This window comes from Homo sapiens, chromosome 2 (assembly GCF_000001405.40).
Source record: "Homo sapiens chromosome 2, GRCh38.p14 Primary Assembly".
Taxonomy (NCBI): domain Eukaryota; kingdom Metazoa; phylum Chordata; class Mammalia; order Primates; family Hominidae; genus Homo; species Homo sapiens.
The window spans coordinates 4,571,427-4,597,246 of record NC_000002.12 but is presented as its reverse complement, the minus strand read 5'-3'; the positions used below and the strand labels follow the sequence as shown (position 1 = coordinate 4,597,246).

The 25,820-nt window shown below is 35.6% G+C and overlaps 1 annotated feature.

Moving 5' to 3' along the window:
- Positions 7,703-8,902: an enhancer, noted in NCBI's record as "MED14-independent group 3 enhancer chr2:4635935-4637134 (GRCh37/hg19 assembly coordinates)". NCBI's record gives its function as "activates an origin of replication core promoter dependent on BRD2, BRD4, P300/CBP and CDK7 cofactors, and independent of MED14, by STARR-seq in HCT116 cells {active_cell/tissue: HCT116}" and the evidence as "EXISTENCE:reporter gene assay evidence [ECO:0000049][PMID:35650434]".

Genomic DNA, 25,820 nt, shown 5'->3' with positions numbered 1-25,820 from the left:
GGGACACTGCAAAATTAAATCTCAATAATGATTCAGTACCATAGTTTTGGGATTCAATCCATTTAAACAGCTATCCTTCATGGGAGAAGGGGAGCCATTCAGTGACATGTAAGAAATTAATATCTATTTCTCCTTCCTTCCTTCCTTCCTCCTCCTCCTTTTTCTTCTTCTTCTTTTCTTTTATTTCCTTCCTTCCTTCCTTCTGTCTTCTTCTGTTTTCCTTCATTCCTTCTTTCCTTCCTTCCTTCCCTCCTTCCTTCCTTCCTTCCCTCCTTCTTTCCTTCCTTCCTCCTTCCTTCCTTCCTTCCTTCCTTCTTCTTTACCCAAATTCTACCCATTTACTGAGGCTAACTTAAAGTCCCAGCCTCTCTATTAAACCATCCTTGACTGTTCATCCTCAACCACCCTTTTTCCTCTGAAGGAAAAGTTGACTCCAAGTTATGCAGCCTATTTTTTTTCCATACTCTTTTGATTATCTTTTCCCTAAAATGGAGCTTCAGGTTTCCTCATGCCCCACCCACTATAGATGTCACTGTTTCCAGGTTGCTTGATATTAAAAAGAGATTCATTTCCTCTAATAGGAAAAATTCCTTTTAGATATGAAATGTGTAATAGTACATTAGTAGTCTTTGGAAGATGTGGCAATATCTCAGTTTTGTCATTTCAATCAGAGTAGCTATTTGTTGTTTGTTTAGTTATTTAAAATAATTGTAATGATTAAGGGTAACTTATAAAAACGAAGAAAAAAATCAGGCTGGGCACAGTGGCTCATGCCTTTAATTCCAGCACTTTGGGAGGCTGATGTGAAAAGATATCTTGAGTCCAGGAGTTTGAGACCAGCCTGGGCAACATGGCAAGACCCGTCTCTACAAAAAATATAAAAATTAGCCAGGCGTGGTAGTGTGTACCTTTAGTCTCAGCTACTCTAGAGGCTGAGGTGGGAGGATTGCTTAGGCTCCAGAGGTCAAGGCTGCAGTGAGCCGAGATTGTGCCACTGCACTCCAGCCTGGGTGACAAAGTGAGACCCCGCTACTAAAAAACAAAGAGAAAAAAATCAAAGATGTACAAAAATTATCCCATGATATAGGTAAAAACCCACTTAAAAGTGTTTCTTTGGAATTGTAGTCAGTATTTATGTACAATTAAATCTAGAATAATAGCTCAAAACCTAGACATCTACTGGATTACTTTTTTTTCTTGAGTATATACTTAAAGTGGAAATTACAAAGAGCAAAACTTCATACAATACCTGCCATTTTAGCACATAATATTTTGCAATTTAAATGTATCCCACCTTACACATCTTGTAAAAGCCCAAAGTTAAAGAAGTATTAAGGATCAATTATTTTAGCTAAAGATTTACCAGCTGACTCCATTTGTTAATCTTTACTGAGATTAGTACAGAAAGTTATATAATTTGGTGAAATGAAAAGATCTATATGCAGTCTGCATAGCACATCTCTTGGATACATTGAAATGTGGGGAAAGAATGAAAAGAATCCAAATTCTCAGCTGCTTCCAGCTACCAGCCCATCTAAAGTTATACACTCTCATACTGCCTAAGTTTTGTCCATAAACGAAAAAAAAAAAAATGAACAGGAAGAAATATCTTAGAATACCCAAATAGTAGCTCTCAGAATCATATAGCACAAACATTGCTCCCCGTCAAGTCACAATGAATAAAATGAGTAAAAATAAATAAATAAACAAATAAAAGCAAACAAAAGCAAAAACATCTACCACAGTTGTGACCTTTAGGCATAAACATGGCTGTGATACCTGCCATTTGATAGCCCCCTTGCAACTAACCACATAGGGTATCTACAGGACTAATTCATGACCTAACCCCACCTCTCAAACATGCTCTGCCATTTCTCAGCCTGTTCTGTATGCCATCTTGTCTACCATTTGCTCTGGAGTAATGGTTTTCATTCTCCTTCAGCCTCCAAATCATTTTGCTTCTGACTGGATTAATTATCTGGTTTTGGAACCTATAAACCCTATAAAAAGTCTTGTTGGACATTCAAACATAATTCTGCAACTTATAGTATCACTTTGGATCCATTTAGAATTTGTCTGCTATGTACTTCTGTCTTTGTTGATAATCATTAATATTTAAAAGCACACTGATATTCATAAAAATACTGTTGTATGATTGTGCCTGCTTAATATCACTACAGGTAGTGATATTAATCAATGATTCAGATCAATCAATGTTTTCATTTGTTGTATGAGCACATTAACATCATGACTGATTTCCACAAACTACAAAGGGATCTCTTTGCTGTGCTGCATCAATTGTGTCTATGATTATGAAGATAGTACTCCTCTAACATTAAGCAGAAAGGAATGGAAACATCGTTGCCTACAAGACATCAAATAATTCACATTAACATATTAAAATAATAAATATTTTGGCCATTTGAGAATGTACTGACTGTACTGAAATCATGTAGGTTGTTTGCAAATGGATTATTCATTCTGAGGACAGCCCTGGCTCACCTCCTGCCAGCCTTTTTCCAGCCCTTTTTCCCTAGATTAAAGGTGATTAGGGTGTAACATGTGTTCCTCAAAATATTTACAATTGCATGTTCTTTATCACTATAAAGATAAAATGGCTCCATCTATTACATTAAAGTTTAATATTCTTTCCATCAGAGAAAATTTGATTATATGCCTTGCAAATACACACACACACACACACACACGTACATATGTACAAAAACAAATACAAACACATACATACATACATACATACATACACACACATACATACATACATACACAAAAATAGTCTTACACTTTTAGGACAAAATATTTTTCCTCCTAATACAGGATAACACTAAAAACTTCCTTATAGTTAAAAAAAAAAAATGTCTACATTGACAAACTTAAACCCTTTTTCTCTAGGAGAACCTCAGGCCTATAGGTGTACATGTATTTTCTTGGCGTGGGAAGAGGGTGGATCATGAGAGCTGTGCTAATGGTGATAAACGAGAAGTCCATGAATTTAAATCAACAATATGTGTTTAATGTCTACTACATAGCAGGAACTTCCAGATGCTGTGGAATACAAAGTTAAACAAAATATATTTGAACTGGTGCTTAGCTACCATTATTATAATAATTATTACTTAGTGGTGCTTAGCCAATCCCATCCAACAGGCAGAAATCTCTTTCATCGCATACCTAATAAAACCTCTTCAATCTGCAAATGAAAATGAGTCAGATAGTGACAGTTGTTTGAAAGTTTTATCATTATTATTACTTGCTAAAAGCTTCATATTTTATACCATAATATCATTAGCAATTATGTCATTTTCTAGAATAAAATGGATACATCTACTCAGTTTTCAAAGCTAAAGATCCCTACATGTGGCAGACTTTCTTTCTAATGCAATGTTCTACTCATCGTCATTCTCCCTATTCATTACTAAGTGCGTAATTTTGTTACCTGTTTAATAGATACATGGCCCAAACTAAACAAAATGGAGAGATAGTTTTTGGAGTAGTCACTATGGTGTTTGATTAGATTCTCTTATTCAACCTATATGATGCCTATAATGACTTATAGATGAATCAGCACATGTTCAGAGAGTTCAGAAAGTAATCACTCCAATGTTACAAAGCTAATACATGAAGATATGAGAATTTGAGCCCAGGCTTATCTCACTCTAGATCCTATGTTCTTTTCACCGTACCCTGCCATTATGTAACCAACGTGATGGCAGATGAATCGTGGCCAAGTTAGTCTGAACACTCTGGCTGGCTGGGCTAAGGATGGAGCTGCTGTGGGCAACACAGAGCTGAGGGGAAACAAGACGGGAACCGCTTGCATATGACGTGGCATCTAGCAGATTCTCGGTACTTAAGAGTTCATATTCTCCTCCTGGCAGAAGGTTCCTCAGAATATATTTCAAAAGTAAAGAGAGTTAAAAAACTAAAATGTGTTTTTAAGTAGTTCATTTTCCTTAATCTTGACATCTAATTTGGTAATACTTTACTTGACTAAAAAACATGCCAGCATTGTATTAATTATTCAGCCCTTCCCAGGCTTCTGCAAGCTTTAATTAGTGAAAGACATTTTCAGGACAAGTTATAATTTGCATGTCAACAAATTTGTTTATAAATTACACAGTAAAGGTAAAATTTGGTAGTATGTCAACTTCCCTAACTGGGATCGATGACACAGCTAGGTTTGCTACAGCTTGCACCTGCATACGCAGCCCTGAAACTCGGTGAACATTCTGTTCCTTTTAATTTCCTTACCCTAGACCTGTGATTACTTACAATTTAATTTAATTTTTGTTGTTCTGTAAGTCCCTATTTGTTATAATAGCACCTCAATTCCAAAGTCAAAGTAAATCTGTCCATAAATTAAACAAAATTGCATTTGTGATCTTAGATATTTACACAAAAATAAATTGGTTTGACTTGGCCTAAAAGAGTACTGCCCATCCAGTAAGTAAAAAATATAACATCAGATTCATTAACAAATTTTGAAAGTCAGACTTATTTCGGGAAGAAAAAGTAAGAAGACTTGACTTCAGTAAGGCCTGATGCCATGATGCCACTTGGTCATGTGGTCAAGGGACCAAGATTGTACAGTGTCAGGATTATTATTATTATTTCCTTATTTTAACATAAATGCATTTTCTACAATGTACTCTGACTTTTTTACACTAAATAAAAATCAATTTATATCAATTTCTTACAGCATTATATTTGGCTTACAAATCCTTCTTGCTCTCAAGCATTGGCAAGTGTTCATTTTACAGATATCGAATTTTGCTTTAAAATCATTTTCTCAAAGAATTATATCTGAAGGTGATCTTATAAATGTCAACTAATCCCGAAGCTAGACCCATTAGATAGTATGCTCCTATCGTCCCAGTGATTTCTCCCATCCAGAAAATCTGTGTCTGGATGAACAATTGATATGTGGAGAAATGATGGCAAAGACCTCACTAATAGATATACAAAAGTCCTGATTTCCTTCACAGTTTATTAATATTTTTGAGGTTGGAGAAAAACTTCAGACAGTCAGAGGCCATGAGATTAGATCCAAATCAGCAGAGGTATTGAGAGGACCTGCAGAAGACCACCAGCATCTGGGTGGAAGAGCCCTGGGGTGGAAATATACTGCTTTCTATGCTCAGCACCGCAAGCAATTCATCAAAAAGGCAGCTCCTCCATGTTTTAATTTGAGCTGTTTCTCTCCACAGGAACCTGACATGGAACTTTTGGTTCAGAGAAGAAGACAACCCTAGAGATAAATTTCAGAAATGAAGATCTGTTTCAACTTGCTTCCTCCATTGGATAACTACGTTGCTGTCAGTGTTTCAAATATACATGCCTGATTCTTCATCTCCTTTTCTTTAAAGACTTATGCAAGTGTGTCTCTGGTGAGTAGACCCCCAGCCAGTCATTTTGATCAGAAACAAACTGGTAAACAAAGAACATTGCTGCCTTTTCACTTGCATTTGCATCATTGCACAAACTGTTCCTCCTGACTGATGTGATGTATTTACTTGTCTGTTTGTTTAACCTTCTATTTATGAAAAATTTCTACTTTTTGTAGATCAAAGATTAAACATACAGGCATACCTCAGAGATATTGTTGGTTCGGTTCCAGACTACAGCAATAAAGTGAACATCGCAACAGAGCAAGTCAAGAATTTGTTGGTTTCCCAGTGCATCTAAAAGGCATGTTTACACTATGCTGAAATTTATTAAATATGCAATAGTTTTATGTCTCAAAAGTTTATGGATCTTAATTTTAAAATACTCGTTGCTAAAAAATGTTTCAGCAACTCATAACCATTTCACTGGTGGAGGGTCTTACACTGACGTTGCTGGCTGCTGACGGATCAGGGTGGTTGTTGCTGAAGGTCGGGGTGGCTGTGGCAATTTCTGAAAATAAGACAACAATAAATTTTCCCACATTGATTGACTCTTCCTTTCGCAAATGATTTCTCTATAGCATCTAATGCTATCTGATAGCATTTTACCCGAAATAGAACTTTTTTAATTGGAGTCAATTATTTCAAACTCTGATACTGCTTTATCAACTAAGTTTATGTAATATTCTAAATTCTTTGCTATAATTTCAACAATGTTCATAGCGTCTTCACCAGGAGTGGGTTCTATCTCAATAAAACATTTTCTTTGCTCATCTGTAAGAGCAAGTCCTCATCCGTTCAAGTTTTATCATGAGATTACAGCAATTCTGTCCCATCTTCAGGCTCCCTTTCTAATTCTACTTCTCTTGCCACTTCTACCACATTTGCAGTTATTTTCTCACTGAAGTCTGGAAACACTCAAGTCACCCATGAGGGGTGGAATCGACTTCTTCCAAACACCTGTTCATGTTGATATTTTGACTTCCTCCCATGAATCCTGAAAGTTCCTGATGGAATCTAGAAGGATAAATCCTTTCCAGAAGGTTTTTCAGTATGCTTTACCCAGATTTATCTGAGGAATCACTATCTACAGAAATTGTGGGCTACAGAATGTATCTCTTAAATGATAAGGATTGAAAGTCAAAATTATTTCTTGATCCCTGGACTTCAGAATAAATGTTGTATCAGCAGTGATGAAAACATTAATCTCCTCATACATTTCCATCAGAGCTCTTGGGTGACCAGGCACATTGTCAATAAGCTGTAATATTTTGAAAAGCACCTTTTTTCCTGAGCAGTAGTTCTCAATAGTGAGCTTAAAATATTCAGTAAACCATGCTGTAAACAGTTGCTGTCATCCAGGCTTTGTGGTTTCATTTATAGAGCACATGTCAAGTAGATCTAGCATAAGGGTCTTAGGATTTTCCGAATTGTAAGTGAACAATGAGTTCAACTTAAAGTCATCAGTTGCATTAACCACTAACAAGAGAATCAGCCTGTCCTTTGAAGATTTGAAGCCAGACATTGACTTCTCTCTAGTTAGGAAAGTCCCATTTGGCATCTACTTCCAATAAAAAACTCTTTTGTCTGCATTGAAAATCTATTGAGTGTAGCCACCTTCATCAATGATCTCAGCTAGATCTGGATAATTGCTGCAGCGTCTACCTCAATGCTTGCTGCTTCATCTTGCACTTTTATATTATAAGGGCAGCTTCTTTCCTTAAACTGCATGAGCCAACCTCTGCTAGCTTCAAACTGTTATTTTCCATCTTTCTCACCTCTCTCAGTCTTCATAGAAGAGGGTTATGGCCTTACTCTGGATCAGGCTGTAGCTTAAGAAAATGGTGTGGCTGGTTCAATCGTCTACACAGACCACCAAAATTTTCTTCATATAAGCAATAGGTGTTTTTCAGTTTCTTATTATTTGTGTTTTTACTGGGGTAGTACTTTTCATTTTCTTACAGAACCTCTCATGTGCATTCACAACTTAGCTATTTGGTGCAAGAGGCCTATCTCAGCTTTTGGCATGCCTTTCTTACAATACTTAATTATGTCTAGCTTTTGGTTTAAAGTGAGGAATGAGACACAAAACTCTTCATTTCACGTGAATGCTTAAAGGCCATTGTAGTGTTATTAATTAGCTTAATTTCAATATTGTTTTATCTAAGGTTATAGGAAGGCCCAAGGAGAGTAAGAAAAATGGAAGAGCAGCAAGGTGGTGGAGCACTCATAATACACACATTTATTGATTAAGTTTTCCATTGTATTTGGGCACAATTCATGGTGCCCCAAGACCATTACAGTAGTATCATCAAAGATCAATTATCACAGATCACCATAACAGACATAGTAATAGTCTGTTTCATAATAGTAATGAAAAAGTTTCAAATATTATGAAGATATCAAAGTGTGACACAGAGACAGAAAGTGAGCACATACTATTGAAAAATAGCATTGGTAGACTTGTTCAACACAGAGTTGCTGCAAACCTTCAGTGAGAAGCATGTTGAAACTAAGTGTAGTCAAATGAGGTAGGCCTGTACTTTCCTGAGAAATTCCTTCTCAATTTCCTAAAGTGAGGTTGGTTCAATTCCTCTTTACTGACATAGGACCATGCATACTCACATCAAAGAACATAGTATGCCACATCAGGAATGCCAATTTACAGTATACAGTGCTGAAAACTGCTCCTTTTAAAATGTAAAAGAGCAAAACCAAAAACTTTTGTGAAGTGGGACTTCCAGTGTGGCAATATAATTAATAAAACTGGACATTACTGCCAACAATCACCCCATCAGGACTCTGGAAATTGACCAAAGCAAACGTTGAACTAAGAAGTGGTCATTTACTGTAAAGAAACAACTGGATTTTGAGGAAGAAGGGTGGGAGCCTGTGGCATCCTTACTTGGGGCTTCGCCCTTCCCCCACCACAGCTGAGTCACAGTGATAGTTCTACCAGAGGAGAAAAAAACTGAAAGTCTTTGCCAGAGGAGCCTGACCTGATATGAAGTAGAACAACGTAAGACACCATGCTCAAGCAGCACTATCAGTAACAAGAGCAACATTGATGATGAATCTACAGAAGAAAAGTGACTCAGCAAGAATGAAGATGTGGCATGGATTCAGGCAAACAGAATGGCAGAACCCTCAGGCATCTATCAGGGACATCCAAGAAATGAGACAGATATGGGGTCCTTGGTGAGCTTCCATATGTCTATGAGACTTCAGAGAGGCCAAGATCTTCACACATTCCTCACTTTGGCCTGTGATTATCTGTAGAGGACATATGAGCATGCACAACAAAATTAAAGAAGGAAGAGACTCCAAACCTACTGAACCATTGAAAGTGTCCCCTGACCCACAGAGATCCACTGTCATACAATGGAAGACTTATTCTTTTGAGGTGTTAGACCACAACCTCTGATTAATGACCGGCTCACCAATATGCTATTCAGACACAAAGATGACCCTAGGAAGCCAGGCAAAAAATAACAGTAATAATTATACATACACACAGAGTCATGTGCCACTTAGTGTTTCAGCCAACACAGACAGCATATATAATAGTGGTCCCATATGATTACAGTATCATGTTTTTGCTATATTTTGTTCTATGTTCAGATATATTCAAATACACAAATACTTACCACTGTGTTACAATTGCCAACAGTTCTCAGTATAGTCCCATGCTATACAAGTTTGTAGCCCAGGAACAATAGGCTACATCATATAGCCTAGGTGTGTAGATGCTATACCATCTAGGTGTGTGTAAGCACACTCTATGATGTTCACACAGTGTGGAAATTTCCTAACAATGCATTTCTCAGAATGCATTCCCATTGTTAAGTGATACAAGATTACACACACACACACACACACTTTCAATTGAGCAGAAACATCAGCAGCCACATGCCATGGGGAACAGAATCTATAGATTTAGTACACACAAGTCATTATAGAAACAAAAGATGAATTCAAAAATTCAACAACAATCCTTGAGGGACAAAAGATCTGAATCCACAAAGTAGAACTATTTTATGAAAAGGTTCAGGTTCCAATGAAAAATTATGAGACAAGGAAAGAAACAGTAAAATTTTTTCCTACTATTAAAAAAAAGCAAATCAAAACCATGTAACAAAAACTGTCACAGAGATGGCATAAATATTGGGCTTAGGAAAAAAAAATCTAAGCAAGCTACTTTAAATATATTGGGGGAAAAATAACTAAACAAAACCATTTTTAGGAATTAAAGAAAATGTGATGAAAATAGCTCAATAACTAGAGCATTAGTTACTGTGATAATTATTTTATAAATGACCTGGTAAAAATTTCAGATTTGAAAACTACAATAACTAAAACTTTAAGAAAAAATTACTATAGTGAATTAATACCCGACTCTATGTGGCAAAGACACACACACACACACACGAATCTGTAAATTAAACTATACCAATATTTTACAAACTCTCTCAGAAAATAGGAAATAGTGTCCACTATTCATATTATTCCATAAGGCCAGCGTTAACTTGAAACCAAATCCAGACAGAGACATTGCACACACACATAGAATAATTAAACTATAATTTAATACCTCTTGTTAACATAGACACAAAATCCTAATAAACATTAGCAAACCTAGTCCACCAGCATATAAAATAACAAGATAAAGTAAATTTATTCTCCAAAAGCAGGTTGGGTATAACATTTAAAAATAAAAATATATAACATTATATTAATATAATAGAAAAAATAGATATAGGAAAAGCATTTGGCAAACTTTAACCCATATTTATAATAAACATTTTCAAGAAACTAAGAAAAGAAAGGAATTATCTCAATTTCATATAAAGCATCAGTGAAAATACTGTGGTTCATATTATATTTAATTGGAAAAGACTGAATGTCCTCTACCTCACACAATTAGGAACCAGGCAGAGATGTCCACTCTCATGACCTCTGTTCAGCATTTTACAGAAGATTCTATTCAGTGGAACAAGAAAAGGAAAGAAAGAGAGAGAACGAGAGAGGAAAGGAAGGAAGGAAGAGGGAGGGAGAGAGGGAGGAAGGGAGGGAGGAGGAAAGGAGAAAGGAAGGAGGAAGGATAAAGAGAGAGAGAGAAAGGCAAGGGGTTAAAGACATCCAGATTGGAGAAAATCAAGTATATAACATTTTTTATTTACAGATGACATGATCTTTTAGATAGAAAAATTTAAGTAATCCATTTTTAAAAAATGCTAGCACTAATGAGTTAAACATGGTCACGAGATGTATTACTTTACAAAAATTAATGAATTTTTCAATATATAAACAACTACTAATTCAAACAAAATTTAAAAAATCATTCACAGAATTATCAAATAATATGCTTAGATATAAATTTAATATTCAAAATTACAGGACTTGCTTACTGAAAATTAAAAAACATTGCTGAGAAAAATTGAAGAAAATCTGAATAAATGGGTGGATATTCTAAGCTAAGGATTTAGAATATTCAATGAGGTTAAGATAGTAATTTTCCTCAAGTTTATCTGTAGACTTTACATAATTCCTATCAAACCCCAGCAGGCTGTTTTATAGAAATTGACAAGCTTATGCTAAAATATATAGTGAATGTCAAAAAATACAGAATCAGAAAAACAATTTAGAAAAGGAGGTTGTAGGAGATACAATAAACAATTTTAAAAGTTACTGTAAAAGATACAAAGTAATTAAGATAATGTGGTACTTGCATGAGGATAAACATATGAATTAACAAAACATAACTGAGAATTCAGAAATAAACTTGCATTACGGCTGACCAATTTTCAGCAAAAGGCCCAATACATTTTAATTGACAAAGGATAGTCTCTTCAATAAATAATTCTGAAACAATTTGATATCCAAGTACAAAGGACAGATTTCGATTCTCACCTCATGCCACACACAAAACATTCCCTCAAGATAGATTCTAGACCTAAATATAAGAGCTTAAGCTATAAAATTTATGGAAGAAAATGAAGGAGAAAGTTTTCATTTACCTTGAGTTATATAGAGAGCTATCAGTGATTATATCTATAACACAATCCAAAAAAGACAAAATTAGTACATTAAACTCCATCAAAATTAAAACATCTGACTTAAAAAACACCATTAAGGAATTAAAAGGTCAAGCCACATAAAACATTTTAAACTCATATATCTGATTGTAGCAAATATTTTCTTATTATATGTCTGAGCACTGAATAGAACTTGTCTCCAGGATATATAAAGAAGACTTTCCACTCAATATAAAGAAGAGAAATAACCCAATTTAACTGTAGGCAAAATGTTTGCATAGGCGTTTTACAAAGTAAGATATATGGACAGCTAATATGAACATGAGATGTTCAGCATTATTAGTCCTTAAGGAAATGCTGGTAGGAAAAAGGAAGGAAGGAAGGAAGGAAGGAAGGAAGGAAGGAAGGAAGGAAGGAAGGAAAGAAGGAAGGAAGGAAGGAAAGGAGGGAGGGAGAGAGGGGAGGGAGGGAGAGAGGAGGAGGGGGAGGAGGGGAGAAGAAGACACAAAATAAAAAGAAAACGCCTTGACAAAACTGAAGAATTTGGAACCCTCATATTGCTTGTAGGAATGTAAAATGATGCAGCCATTTTGGAAATAAAGCTGTCCCTCAGGAAGAGGGATTGGTTTTAGGACCTCCACGGATACCAAAATTTGCTTATGCTCAAGCCCCTGATAAAAAAATGACATGATCTTTGCATATAACCCTACAAATATTAGGTTGGGACAAAAGTAATTGTGCTTTTTGCCATTAAAAGTTGCAAAATATATATTTTATATCATCTCTAGATATACTTTATCTATATCCTATACTTTAAATTATCTCTGGATTACTTATAATACCTAATACAACATAAAGGCTATGCAAGCAGTTCTTATACTATCTTTTTAAATGTGTATTACTTTTACTGGTATATTGTTACTTTCCATAGACAAGAAGTTTTTTTTTTTTCCAAATATTTTTGATCCCAGATTGGTTCAATCTGCAGATACAAAACCTGCAGACACAAAAGTCAACTATAGTTTGTCAGTTCCATTAAAACCTTACAAAGTTAAACATAAGCTCACCAGTGACCCATGAATTCTACTCCTAATTATCCAGTCAAGATAAATAAAAACATATGTCTACACAATTATGAGCACATGTATGTTCAAAGTAGCATTATAATAATAGCCAAAATCTAGAAACACTCCAAATGTCCATCAATTGGTGAAGGAATAAATAAGACCTGGTATTGCTCTTCAGTGGAAGGGCAATTCTTTGTTCAAGATGCCAAGAACCTGGACACCCTCTACCAGTAATACAAGCAGACACCAATGGCCAGATTTATTTAGTTATTTTTCCAAAACAGTGGAGGGGGAAGGACAGCAATGGGATGGCTTGGTGGTGGGAGCACCTGGCATTTCCCTCACATTTGAAAAGAGCAACAGCTGTGCATTGGCTGCAGGGTAGGGGAGCGGGGTGGTGGGGGAATGGGGAGGTGGGGGAGTGGAGAAGTGGGGGAGGGAGAGGGGGGAGTAGGATGGTGGCGAGGTAAGGAGGTAGGGGAACAATGGGGAGGTGGGGAAGTGAGGAGGTGGGGGAGCAGGGGGTGGGGACAGGAGTGGGGAGCCGTGGAGTGGGGAGGTGGAGGAGCAGGAGGTGGGGGAAGGCCCTGATGTGGCTGGAACTGACAGGAAGCGTTTTGAGCTGCACTTTGGGACACATTACCAGGGTCCTGAAAATGAACATGGGCTGTCCATGAGTGAGTGAGGTTGTACTGAAGTTCTGAACTGTAGAATACAAAGCTAAGGAAAGAAAAATGTATTTTGTGCTATCAGACCCTCCGGATTAGACAAAGGAAAATCAAGATGTGTTCACCCAAAGAATAAGCCGGAGAAGCTCTCTAATGTGTGGTTTCATAGCATAGTTCAATCTGAATGAGTTAAAGCCAGGCTTTCAAAACGGTTCTATCAGCAGACCTTTCTATAGTCCTGCTCTTGAAATGGATGGATTTTCTGTCCATTACCCACACAGGCCTCCAGGAAGCCTGGTTTAAGACGATGCATCCTCAGACTGGCCAGCCCATGTGGAGCGTTCTGTTGTATTTCTGAGTTGACACTGGGATTTTGCAGCCCTTCTCTGAGAATCAGGCTTTCCAAAGCTGCTCTAACTGCTTGGTCTCTCTCCTATCGTGAATATCTTCAAGGGATATTCAAAACTACAAGGACAAATTGTAAAAACTTTTCTGTTCATGTGCAACCCATCTAAGTTGCACTAAGTTGCACCCTGGAGCAATATGCTATTACAGAGAGAGGCATTGTTGCTGTTCATCATCACAACTTACAGGGCAGACAGTGGAGCAGTTAATTTGTTAACTTTCTCCATTGCTCATCTTTCAGCCCACATCACATCTGCCTTCACTGGGAACCCGAGTGCCCTTTCTCTCTCTGACCACACTCCCTTTCTGGTTCTGTGCTTCCTCTGGACCTTTCTATCCCTTTGTTCTCCTCTGGCAAGGGCACAGCTCCATCCTTATTCAGGCACTGCTGGTTCTTTTAGGCAATGAGGACGTTCCTCCCAGCTTTATCCTGGAGGAGACCATTCCTATGAACATTCTTGGTCTCTCCTAGGAAGGTTTAGATTTATGTTCAGAGTGGAAAATCTAAAATGCAATCGAGCTTTTAAAATGTATATATTACTCTTAGCTTTAAATTATCTATGTGCTATCATGTTAATATTTCTTCTCCCCTTCTCCACTATTATCATAAAACTTCTCCTCATCAAGATGTAAAATGATGAAGATACAAAGACATTTTTGCCCACATACTCATTTCGTAAATATTTACTGAGCCCTTGCTGTGCCAAACACTTTGCTAGGACTAGGGGTTCACAGGTGTTCAGAGTAGAAACTTTTCCCTCAAAACCTTACATTTGTATGGCCTAGGTGGGGTGGGGGTGGGAGCTGTCAAGAAAACAATGAAATATAATGTAATGTGATATGAACTATGATAGAACCAAACAGTGCACTGTGAGAACGTCCAATGCAGACTGATTTGTTTGGCTTGTTTTGGAAAACCAGAAAGGGCTTGCTGGTCAGCTTCAGATTTATTCCTTCATTTAAGAAACATCTACTGAGTGCCTACATTGTGATTAACGCAACCTGATCCTGGAAATACAAATATGAATAAATATAGGCTCTGTCTTAGAAAATTTCAGAATCTAAGTGGGGAAGTAGAAAAGTGATAAAAAATTACATCTGTCAATGTCTTATGTGCAACTTACTATAATTTTACGTTTGCAGGAAAATACAGAAGCCATGGAGAAGCTTGAGTGCTAAAGGACCCAATAACTACATTTTCATTGAGATGGCTCTTTGGAAAATGACTTTTGCAGAGTTGAAGAACAAACCTTAAAAATTTCATCTATAAACACTACCCATCTCAAGTTCATTGAGAGGCTAGAATAGGCTGATGTATGTAAAACAGTAATAAGCTTGTTATTAATATGAAACATAGTTTTATTAATATTATTTAGATATAGAATTTTACTCAAGTAATCTGGTCATCAATTCAACACAATTTAGAACACATAATTTGGATAGAATTCAATTTTTGTATAAAATACACTGAGGAAGTAATCGATTCTTTTTTAAGTTCACAATCAAATACAATATGGACTTTCCTTCATAAATTTACTCAGATAATAAAACCGTCAAATGCTACAATCACTATCAGTTGGACCGACCTCAGATTATTAAAAGTTTGTAAAATACCCTAGATCAAAGTTGATACAAAGATTACTTTATTTCTTGATGAATATTAGTCTAATGAAAAGTGAACTGCTCTGCCCAGAAGAGACTGTGGGTTCATTTCAATGGTAATTAGTAATTAGAGCTTTAGAAAATTATGAAACCTTTATCATTTCAGGATCATCATGATTGTTGTTTTTTGTCTCAAACTTTTAAAGCGTTCTAAGGGGCAGATACAGTCCTGATATCGTGGTGGTTGTTTTTAAAGATGGTCATAATGATTCGTCTTTGAAGACTAGGTAGAATTGAATTCAATTCCCCACTCTGAAGCAATAGCCATTTTTCTTAAGACATTACTCATGTGACATAAATGCTCTAACAGCCCTTGGGTTGTTTGTTGAGCTATCCAAATGTCTCAAGTTTCAATTTAAAGAATAATTATGGATATGTATAGACCTCATATATCAAAATGGTGTTAGAAAAAATTTAATTTTGAGTAATCAATACATTCTGTTCCTCAGTCTGGTTATGTGGATTTTACTTCTAAGAACTTCATTTTTGCCTATATTTACATCACCATTTCTTTACCAGAATTGGTAAAAATTGATGACTCTTTTAAAACTTTGTTTGTTGGTTTTTTTTGTACGGCTGTGGAAAGAACTGAGGAAACTCAGTTATTGAATTCATCTAAAAAGCTTATCTAAGGCTATCTTATCTCACTTACTTATGTCTGTAAGTAAAATAATATACTCATATTTTCTGTTTTTCTTTCATTTCCAGATTTAAACTTGTGTAACTTCTCCCTAGAGATGAAAAATGTGTTGTAACGTACTACCACTAATAAAGCTTATGATTTTAAAGAAATAGAATAGTTTCAAATTAAAAAGAGAGAGAGAGCAGGAAGAACTCCATAGCCTCACTTTTTCTAAAGTAGAAAATGTTCTTATTTTATGAACTCACATAACTCCATATATTGATAGATATTTGTCCACTATCAATCATCATGAATATGCAAAGTGCACATTACTTTCTCATATTTTTTTATCACCGTGTTTTCGCTTTAGTAATATTTTTGTTAGTTGAAATTTACTGAGCTTTTTGAAGTTCAACTTAATATCAATATATGTTTCTCTCAGAAATTATGACGACTGCTAACAAAATTATAATATTTACTAGAAGGTATAATTTGATACAATGTTTCAGCAGTATAACAGAATTAATTATATTAGAATTTGACAACTTTCCCCAAACTGAATATATTTAAACAGGAGTTGGTTTAATTGAGTCAAGGAAGTGAAAGACTTTTACAATAAAAACTACAAATATTGATAAAATAACTTTAAAAAGACCCAAGTAAATGAAAGGGAATACTATGTTCATGATCGGAAAATGTAACATTGTTATGATGGCAAGACTCTTCAAACTGATCTACAGATTCAGTAAACTCTGTATCAAAATCCCAATGGCCTTTTTTTGAAGAATGGAAAAACTTACTTATCTTAAAATTCCTATGGAATTGCAAGGGGCCATGAACAGCAAAACATGATGAAAAATCATAATAGTTAGATGACTCACAATACACTGTTGTTTCAAAAGTTTTACAAATATACAATAATCAAAATGGTATGGTACTGCTGTAAAGATACAAATACAGATGAATGGAATAAAATTGAAAGTCCAGAAATAAACTCAGACACCTATGGTCAATTGATTTTCAACAAGAATGCTGAGACCTTCCAATGGGGAGAGAACAAATGGATATCTTATCTCAAATCACATATAAAAATTAACTCAAAAAGGATCAACAACCTAAATATAAAAGCCCGAAGTACAAAATTCTCAGAACAAATCAAAGGCAAATTATTGTGACCTTGTATTTGGCAATAGTTCCTTAAATATGACGTCAAGAACTGAAGTAACAGAAACAAAAGTTGGTAAGTTGCATACCACCAAATTTTTTTAAATCCTGTCTGTTGAACACTATCACGAGATTGAAAAGAAAACCCACAAAATGAGATAAAATATTTGCAAATCTTGTAACTGATAAGGTCTAGTATTTAGAATTTTAAAAGAAATATTACAATTCAATAACAAGACAAAATTATCAATTAAAAATGGGAAAAAGACTTGAACAGAGAGTTGTTGAAGGAAGACATACAAATGGCCAACAATCACATAGAAAGATGCTCAATATCATTAGTCTCTAGGGAAATGGAAATCAAAACCACAATGAGCAACCTCATGACACCTACTATGAAGGACAACATAAAACATAATTTAAAATATCAAGCATTGGCAAGTGTGATGGTTTGAGTGTGTTCCCCAGAATTATGTGTTGGACTTTTTGCCTCAGTGTGGCAGTGTTGGGGAAGTGGTGCCTTTAAGAGATGATTAGGTCATTTAAAGGAATTAATGCTGCTCTTGGGGAACTGGGTTATTTCTTGCAGAAGTGAGTGACTTCTCATTATGTTGGGACTGGATTAGTTACTGCAAGATTGAGTTGTTATAAAGTGAGGCCACTTATTCTTTTTTTGCCTTTTTTGCACATGCCTGCTTTCCCCTATGTTTTTCTGCCATAATACTACCCTCATCAGATGCAGCCATCTGATCTTAGACTTTCCAGCTCTAGAACGATGAGCTAAATAATTATCTTTCCTTTGTGAATTACGCAGTCGCAGATTTCTGTTATAGCAACAGAAAAGGGACTAAGACAACAAGGATGAAGATAAATTGGAAGGCTTATGGATTGCTTTTTAGAATGTAACATGATGCAGCACTGTGTAACACAGTTTGTTGGCTTGTCAATAAACTAAGCAGAGTTACCATATGGCCAAACAATTCCGCTCCTTGGCATATACCCTCCAAAACTGAAACCCTGTATTCAAACAAAAATGTGTACATGAATGTTCACAGCAGGTCTATTCATAATACCCTAAAGGAGAAATAGCCTGAATGTTCATCAACAGATGAACAAGCAAACATAATCTGGTATATCCACACAATAAAATAGTTTTCAGCTATAAATAGGACTGAAAAACTAATATATACTACAACATCGATGAGCTTTGAAAATATTTTGTCAAATAAAATAGACACAAAAGGACCAAAATTAGATGACTCTACTTACATAGAATCAACAAATGTATAAAGATAAAAAGTGGATTAGTGGTTGCCTCAGAAATGGGAGGAAGAAAGAATTAGGACTGATTCTTTAATTTGTAAGGCATTCCATTTGGGGAATGCCTTATAACTTTGTTATATCACCATTTGGGGTGATAAAAGTGTTTTGAAACTAGATAGTTATATGGTTGCACAACTTAGTAAATGTATAAAATTCCAATAAATGGTATTCTTTAGTACAGTTACAATGGTAAGTTTTATGTTACGTGCGTTTTGCCACAATAAATATACTTTGAGTAAAAAAAAGGAAGAGAACCAAAAACATTTATTGAGCAATCGGCAATCACATAGGAAGATCCTGTTAACCTGATGAGACAGAATTGTGTAAGATTCAGTCCTTGTACTTTCAAGTACATATGTACTGTGTAAACAAAGCACCTAAACAACTAGTATACAATATTTTACAGTTGACTATAGGTGATGATTAAAATGCCATAGAAACACTGAGAAAAGAATATTTGATCCTTCCTGCATGGAGGGAGGTATTGACTTAGGAAAACAACAAAAAGCATAACTTTGTTATAATAATGAATAATACATGCTATTCCTTCTCTTAGAAAGTAGGGGAAGGATAGTCTAGGAAAGAAGAACAAAGAAGAAAACAACAACAAACATGTACACAGGTACATACATGAAGCAAAAATGTATATTCAGTCAATTTAATAAAGTTGATTTTGTAATAAAAGCTAATAATTTTTTAAATGTTATTTAATGTTCTTCACAGCTCAAATAAAGAAGCACAATTATCATTGCTTTGATTTTATAAAAGTTGAAACTATGGATGAAAAGAGATTAGTATTTTTCTCCAAATCAGAAAGCTGGTAAGTGATGAAGCTGCAATTAACCAAGTCCAGAAAAATGTCAGAATCTGTTCTTTTAGCCATTATTCTCATTGTGTTTTGAAGCAGTTAGAATTAAGAATTGTGACACAAGCAAGGACTGGATGAAGAAGGCCTTTCATAATATGCTGTTATTTGGATTTTATTTTCTAGGAAATGAAAGCAATTGCACAGTTTTATGCATGGGAGTAATTGCATCTGAAGTTAGAAGTATTATACTGGCAACGATGTGGAGAAGATGAACTAATATATACTCAGAGGTTTTACACTGATCACCTGCCTGGGATGCCTTGGAGTTGTGAGAAGTAACAAAAGAGAAATGCAAATGAGGGAAAGGGAATTAGCATCTGAACAGACATGTTGTCCTTGCACTTTTTATTCAGCATGTTATTAATTCCAGTACTGATGCAGAGGGTTTAAGATTACATTTTCCATTTTATCACAAAGAACCAAAGGCTTAGAGATTTTAAATGACCTGTGTATGTCACATAGCTGGAAGGTCATGGATTTGGGACCAAATCTATGTCCTTTTACAACCAAAGTTTATTTCACTATTGTCTCAGTATGTCTGGGCTGCTTTAACAAAAAGAAATTTATTACTCACAGTTCCAGAATCTGACAAGTCCCAGATCAAGTCACCAGTGTCTGATGAGGGCCTGTTCCTCATAGATTGCACCTTCTATGTGTCCCCACAAAGCAGAAAGAAGAAAACAGGGTCCCTCAAGCCTTTTTCTTAAGGATACTAATTCCATTCATGAGGACAGAGACCTTATGAGCTACACACCTCCTAAAAACCCTACCTTTTAATATCACCACAGTGGGAATTAGTTTCAACATGAATTTCGGAGGAGCACAAACATTTAAACCATTGCAACTATGTCATGACATCGAAACAATTTTCTAATCTTATAAAAGGTGCTAAACCTTGCAAAACTAGTGAGAAGAATGCAAAAACGCTGCATGTGTGTGTTTGACAAACTTTAACGAGTATTCCATTATAGAAATACCCTCCAGGTTGACAGCAATAAGAACTTTCTTCTATTGCTCTCTTTTGACTTGATTTAGTCCAGTTGGCTTTATCATTTTAATGTCTCTGCTGCTGTAACTGTGAAGTGGCTGCTCTGTTTTCACACTTATCCATGCAAGCTTTCCCTGGTCTTTTTAGCTCAAGTGAAAAATCGTTCATTTCTTTTTCTACTAAACCACCAACTAAAATGTACTCTATTTATTAAAAAATTTTATCATCATAAGAAAAAAATGAATTTGAGTCATCAATAAATGCATACTTATTATTTCCATCCTTTAGCCAGATGAAAAAGGAAAATTAATGTTTACCACTCTCAAGTTAGTGACTAATACAGGTTGAAGACAAACAGGCATACAATAAAAAACACCATATTCCAAAAGGGAAGTTAGCAAATGGAATATCTCATACACACACACACACACACACACACACACACACACACACACATATATGTATTTAAATAACATATTCATTTACCATTTTAAGGGTAAGAATATTAAGTAGGAAATAATACATTTTGACTAGAAAAAGAAAAACATGATGAATACTTAAAACTCGTAATGAAGCATCTCTACAGATTCCTGGGTTAACCTCCAGGTATCCTGACTTGGTAGGTTTAGGATTATACCCGGGGATCTGCATCTTTCATAAGCTCCTAAGTGATTCTTGTTCACCAAATATGTTGAAAACCACTGACCTACTTAGTGTAATAACCTGAGAAACAGAACATTTGGAGTGCTTCTTAATGTGATCTATCTCTTCTTAGATCACTGCCATTCAGATGTCTAGTTCTGATTGTTTGAAAATGGTGCTATTGTGCACTTAGGTACAGATATAATGCTCATGAAAATGAACAAGTACTTGAGGGTATTTGAAAAATATAATCTTGGGGCTTACAGAAAGATGGAAAGGTAAATAGGTTGCAGTATCACAAGTGAAATCAGCTGTAGATAATAGCTTTCTCCATCTGTGGATAATAGCAGAAAATAGACTTGAAAAGAATCAAAGAAAATAGAGATGGAATACATATTCATTTTAAAATGTAGCTGGATGATTTATTCAACATTAGCATTGTTTTTTTAATCTTTCCAAAGGTAAAAAAGAACCTGAGTGAAAAAATATTTTAGGCTGATTTAATATAAAATTCATTGAAATAGGATTTGGAAGGTACAGGTTAGAATCTCAAATAAACAATGAATTTATCCTATTACTTGTAGTCCATAGATCCTCTTCATTGATCATGCATCTGCTGGGTTTATATGTAACATATTCTTCACCACCTCAAGCTGTCTAATATCCATGGATGGGTTTACATCCTCATGAGTCCTTTCCCTTCTTGGGTACTTTTGTAGAAGATACAGTTTGAGGCTACTAAGGAATCATACTCTTGCAAAGGCCTCACTAAAGCCTGCACAGAATAATTAATCTTAGTAGTGGGTTGTCATTAAAGAGGCTAATTCTGACATAGGAAAGAGATCTGAGGAGCTACTCAAGAGATGAAAGCAAAACTGGTAGAATTATAGAAACATTTTTCTGGGAAGGGTTTTGATGTTGTTGTATCTTGAATATCTTTTAGCTCAAGAACATTTTTCATAAATTATGTACTGTCTAAAAAGAAAATTATGATTGCTTAGGTTAAGGTAACATATGTACATTGATATCACTTGTGAAATTGATTACACTAAAAATATATAGGGTGAACTGAATTCTCTGTGAGGCCTATAAGCCATGATAGGTTGAGAAAAACACTGGAACCAATATTTTCTTTTTTAAAAAATTTATTATACCTTAAGTTCTGGGATACATGTGCAGAATCCAGTAATGGGATTGCTGGGTCAAATGGTATTTCTAGTTCTAGATCCTTGAGGAATCACCATACTGTCTTCCACAAGGGTTGAACTAATTTTCACTCCCACCAACAGTGTAAAAGCATTCCTATTTCTCCACATCCTCTCCAGCATCTGTTGTTTCTTCACTTTTTAATGATTGCATTCTAACTGGTGTCAGATGTTATCTCATTGTGGTTTTGATTAGCATTTCTCTAATGACCAGTGATGATGAGCTTTTTTTCATATATTTGTTGGCCTCATAAATGTCTGCTTTTGAGAAGTGTCTGTTCATATCCTTTGCCCACTTTTTGATGGGGTTTGTTTTTGTTTTTGTTTTTATTTTGTTTTTGTAAATTTGTTTAATTTCCTTGTAAACTCTGGATACTAGACCTTTTTCATATGGATAGATTGCAAAAATTTTCTCCCATTCTGTAGGTTGCCTGTTCACTCTGATGATAGTTTCTTTTGCTGTGCAGAAGCTCTTTAGTTTAATTAGGTCCCATTTGTCAATTTTGGCTTTTCTTGCAATTGCTTTTGGTGTTTTAGTCATGAAGGCTTTGCCCATCCTATGTCCTGAATGGTATTGCCTAAGTTTTCTTCTAGGGTTTTTATGGTTTTAGTGTTACATTTAAGTCTTTAATCCATCTTGAGTTAATTTTTGTATAAGGTGTGAAGAAGGGGTCCAGTTTCAGTTTTCCGCATATGGCTAGCCACTTTTTCCAGCACCATTTATTAAATAAGGAATCCTTTCCCCATTGCTTGTTTTTGTCAGGTTTGTTGAAGATCAGATGGTTGTAGATGTGTGGCATTATTTCTGAGGCCTCTGTTCTGTTTCACTGGTCTGCATATCTATTTTGGTATGAATACCATGCTGTTTTGGTGACTGTAGCCTTGTAATATAGTTTGAAGTCAGGTAGCATGATGCCTCCAGCTTTGTTCTTTTTGCTTAGGATAGTCTTGGCTATACAGGCTCTTTCTGGCTCCATATGACATTTAAAGTAGTTTTTTCTAGTTCTGTGAAGAAAGTCAATGGTAGCTTGGTGGGAATAGCATTGAATCTATAAATTACTTTGGGCAGTATGGCCATTTTCACAATATTGATTCTTCCTATCCATGAGCATGGAATGTTTTTCTATTTGTTTGTGTCCTCTCTTATTACACTGAGCAGTGGTTTGTAGTTCTCCTTGAAGAGGTCCTTCACATCCCTTGTTAGTTGGATTCCTAGGTATTTTATTCTCTTTGTAGCAATTGTGAATGGGATTTCACTCATGATTTGGTTCTCTGTCTACTATTGGTGTATAGAAATGCTTGTGATTTTTGCATGTTGATTTTTGTATCCTGAGATTTTGCTGAAGTTGCTTATCAGTTTAAGCAGTTTTGGAGCTGAGACCATGGGGTTTTCTAAACATACAATCATGTCATCTGCAAAGAGAGACTATTTGCCTTCCTTTCTTTCTCTCTGAGTACCCTTTATCTCTTCCTCTTGACTGATTGCCCTGGCCAGAACTTCCAATACTATGCTGAATAGAAGTGGTGAGAGAGGGTATCCTTGTCTTGTGCTGGTTTTCAAAGGGAATGCTTCCAGCTTTTGCCCATTCACTATGATATTGGCTATGGGTTTGTCATAAATAGCTCTTATTATTTTGAGATATGTTCCATCCGTACGAAGTTTATTGACTGTTTTTAGCATGACGGGGTGTTGAATTTATTAAAGGCCTTTTCTGCGTCTATTGAGATAATCATGTGGTTTTTGTTATTGGGAACCAATATTTTCTAAGGATTCTCCAGACCTAATGTTTGAGAATCTGTGATTCTAGAATTTGGTGATATGATAAATGCTTCAAGTGTTGCTTTTTATATTATTGCAACAATTATCGTGCTATTTCTTTTGGCACAGAGAATTCTCAAAATGGTTTCATAGGTGGAGTGTAGGTAAACTGTTTTGTAAAATTGCACAATTAAATTTGAAATATCAAAATTTGTTGTTGGACTGTTTTAGCTCAAGATGTAGAAAAGTGGAAAGAGTAGCACCCCCTACTCTTCCAACAACAAAAACCTAGAAAAAGTGCATATGAATGACTTCTACGGAATTCACTGGAGAACTAAGGTCACAGGGAAACAATTGGCCGAAAATGTGGGGAGAGACCATTGGCGCACTTAGAAACAAGTCTTAGGGCAGACACTGTCAGACAGCACACAGTCCAGTAAGAAGACTCGGCTGAAATTTTTAATAAATTGTTCAAGGCAACAGTGCGGGCTACTAAAGGAGGACGGGGCTCCTGAGGACCACAGTCTTCAGGGTGTTTCCTCCCAGTTGCAGCCTTTTCTTGCATAAACCCTTGAAGGCATGCATGCGAAGATTAGGGTAAATTTAAGAAAGCTTCCATGTTGTTGGCTGGGGAAAGGTAATAGTAAGCAAGGACAAAATTCCTCCCAGATGCTACTTTGTCACCTCTCTGAAACAACGAAAGCTTTAATCTTCAGGGAAAAAGTAGTAAATACCGACATCTTAGAGACTTTTGAAAACCCATTGAAGTTTCAAGAAGGAAATAGGAGGGAAGAGCTGCACCTCAGGGAGTAGAGCATAAATACATGCCTGTCCTAGCCCTGGTGCTGATGAACAGGCAGGAATATTTATGAATGTCACAATTTCAGAGCCGGGTTCACAAGATCTGCCTAAGATTTGGACATAGTAAGAGTATTGCAGAAAAGCACCTCCTTCAGTCCGACCATTGCTGTAACAAGGCTTTGAGTAGAAATTGCCACGGGAGCCAGCTAGGAGAGTGCTGAGAAAGCAGATGCTTCCCGGACCAGTGTGGAGGGAAGACACAAGCCCAGGCAGAGATATAGTATATCCAGAATTCTGAGGAAAACTAGCCCACACTCCAGTATGGGCATCAGTGAAACTGAAATGGGAAAACAATAGAAAAAAAAAATGAGTAACTTCAGAAGCTGCTTCCTAGAAAAGATCAATAATGGTGATGAACTTCTACTCAGACTGACCAAAGAAAAACAGATCAACTAGAAAATGTTACTATCAGCAATTAAAGAAAGGACATTATTAGTGAGCACATGGATGTGAAAAGGACAACAAGGAAATGCTACAAATATACAGTGAAAAATTTGACATCTATTTCTATTGAGATTAATTTGACCAGTTCTTTCAATGACATAAACTATTGTCACTTACTTAAGAGAAAATATATAGCATGAATTCTCCTACATCAATTAACAAAATTTAATTTTTTTGCATATACCATTGAAAACTATAGACCTAATTGGTTTTCTTTGTAAATTCTAGTAAATATTTAATTTTTAAAAATGCCAGTTTTATACAACCACATCAAGGAAATAGTTCAAGAAGGAACACATCAAACTTTTTTATGAGACCAGTATTACCATAATTTGAAAACCAGATAAAGATAATGCAAGAAAATGCAACTGCAGACTAATAATCCTTATTAAGATTATTTCAAATATCCTCAACAAAATATTAGCAAATTCATTTAGTAATATATACAAATAGTAGTACATTAAGACCAAGAGGGGTTGTACCTGGAAAGGAATTCAAGGCTACCTCAACATCTGAAAGTCACTCAATATAATTCATCATGTAAACAGACTAAATAAAAACAGAATTGTATCAATAGGTACAAATAAAACATATGCCAAAATTCATATCATTCGTGTTAAAAATTATCAGCAAGAGGATTCTGGAAGGATGATGGAGTGGGAAGCACCAAAAATCTGTAAGAAAAATTAATCAGCTATCAAAAAA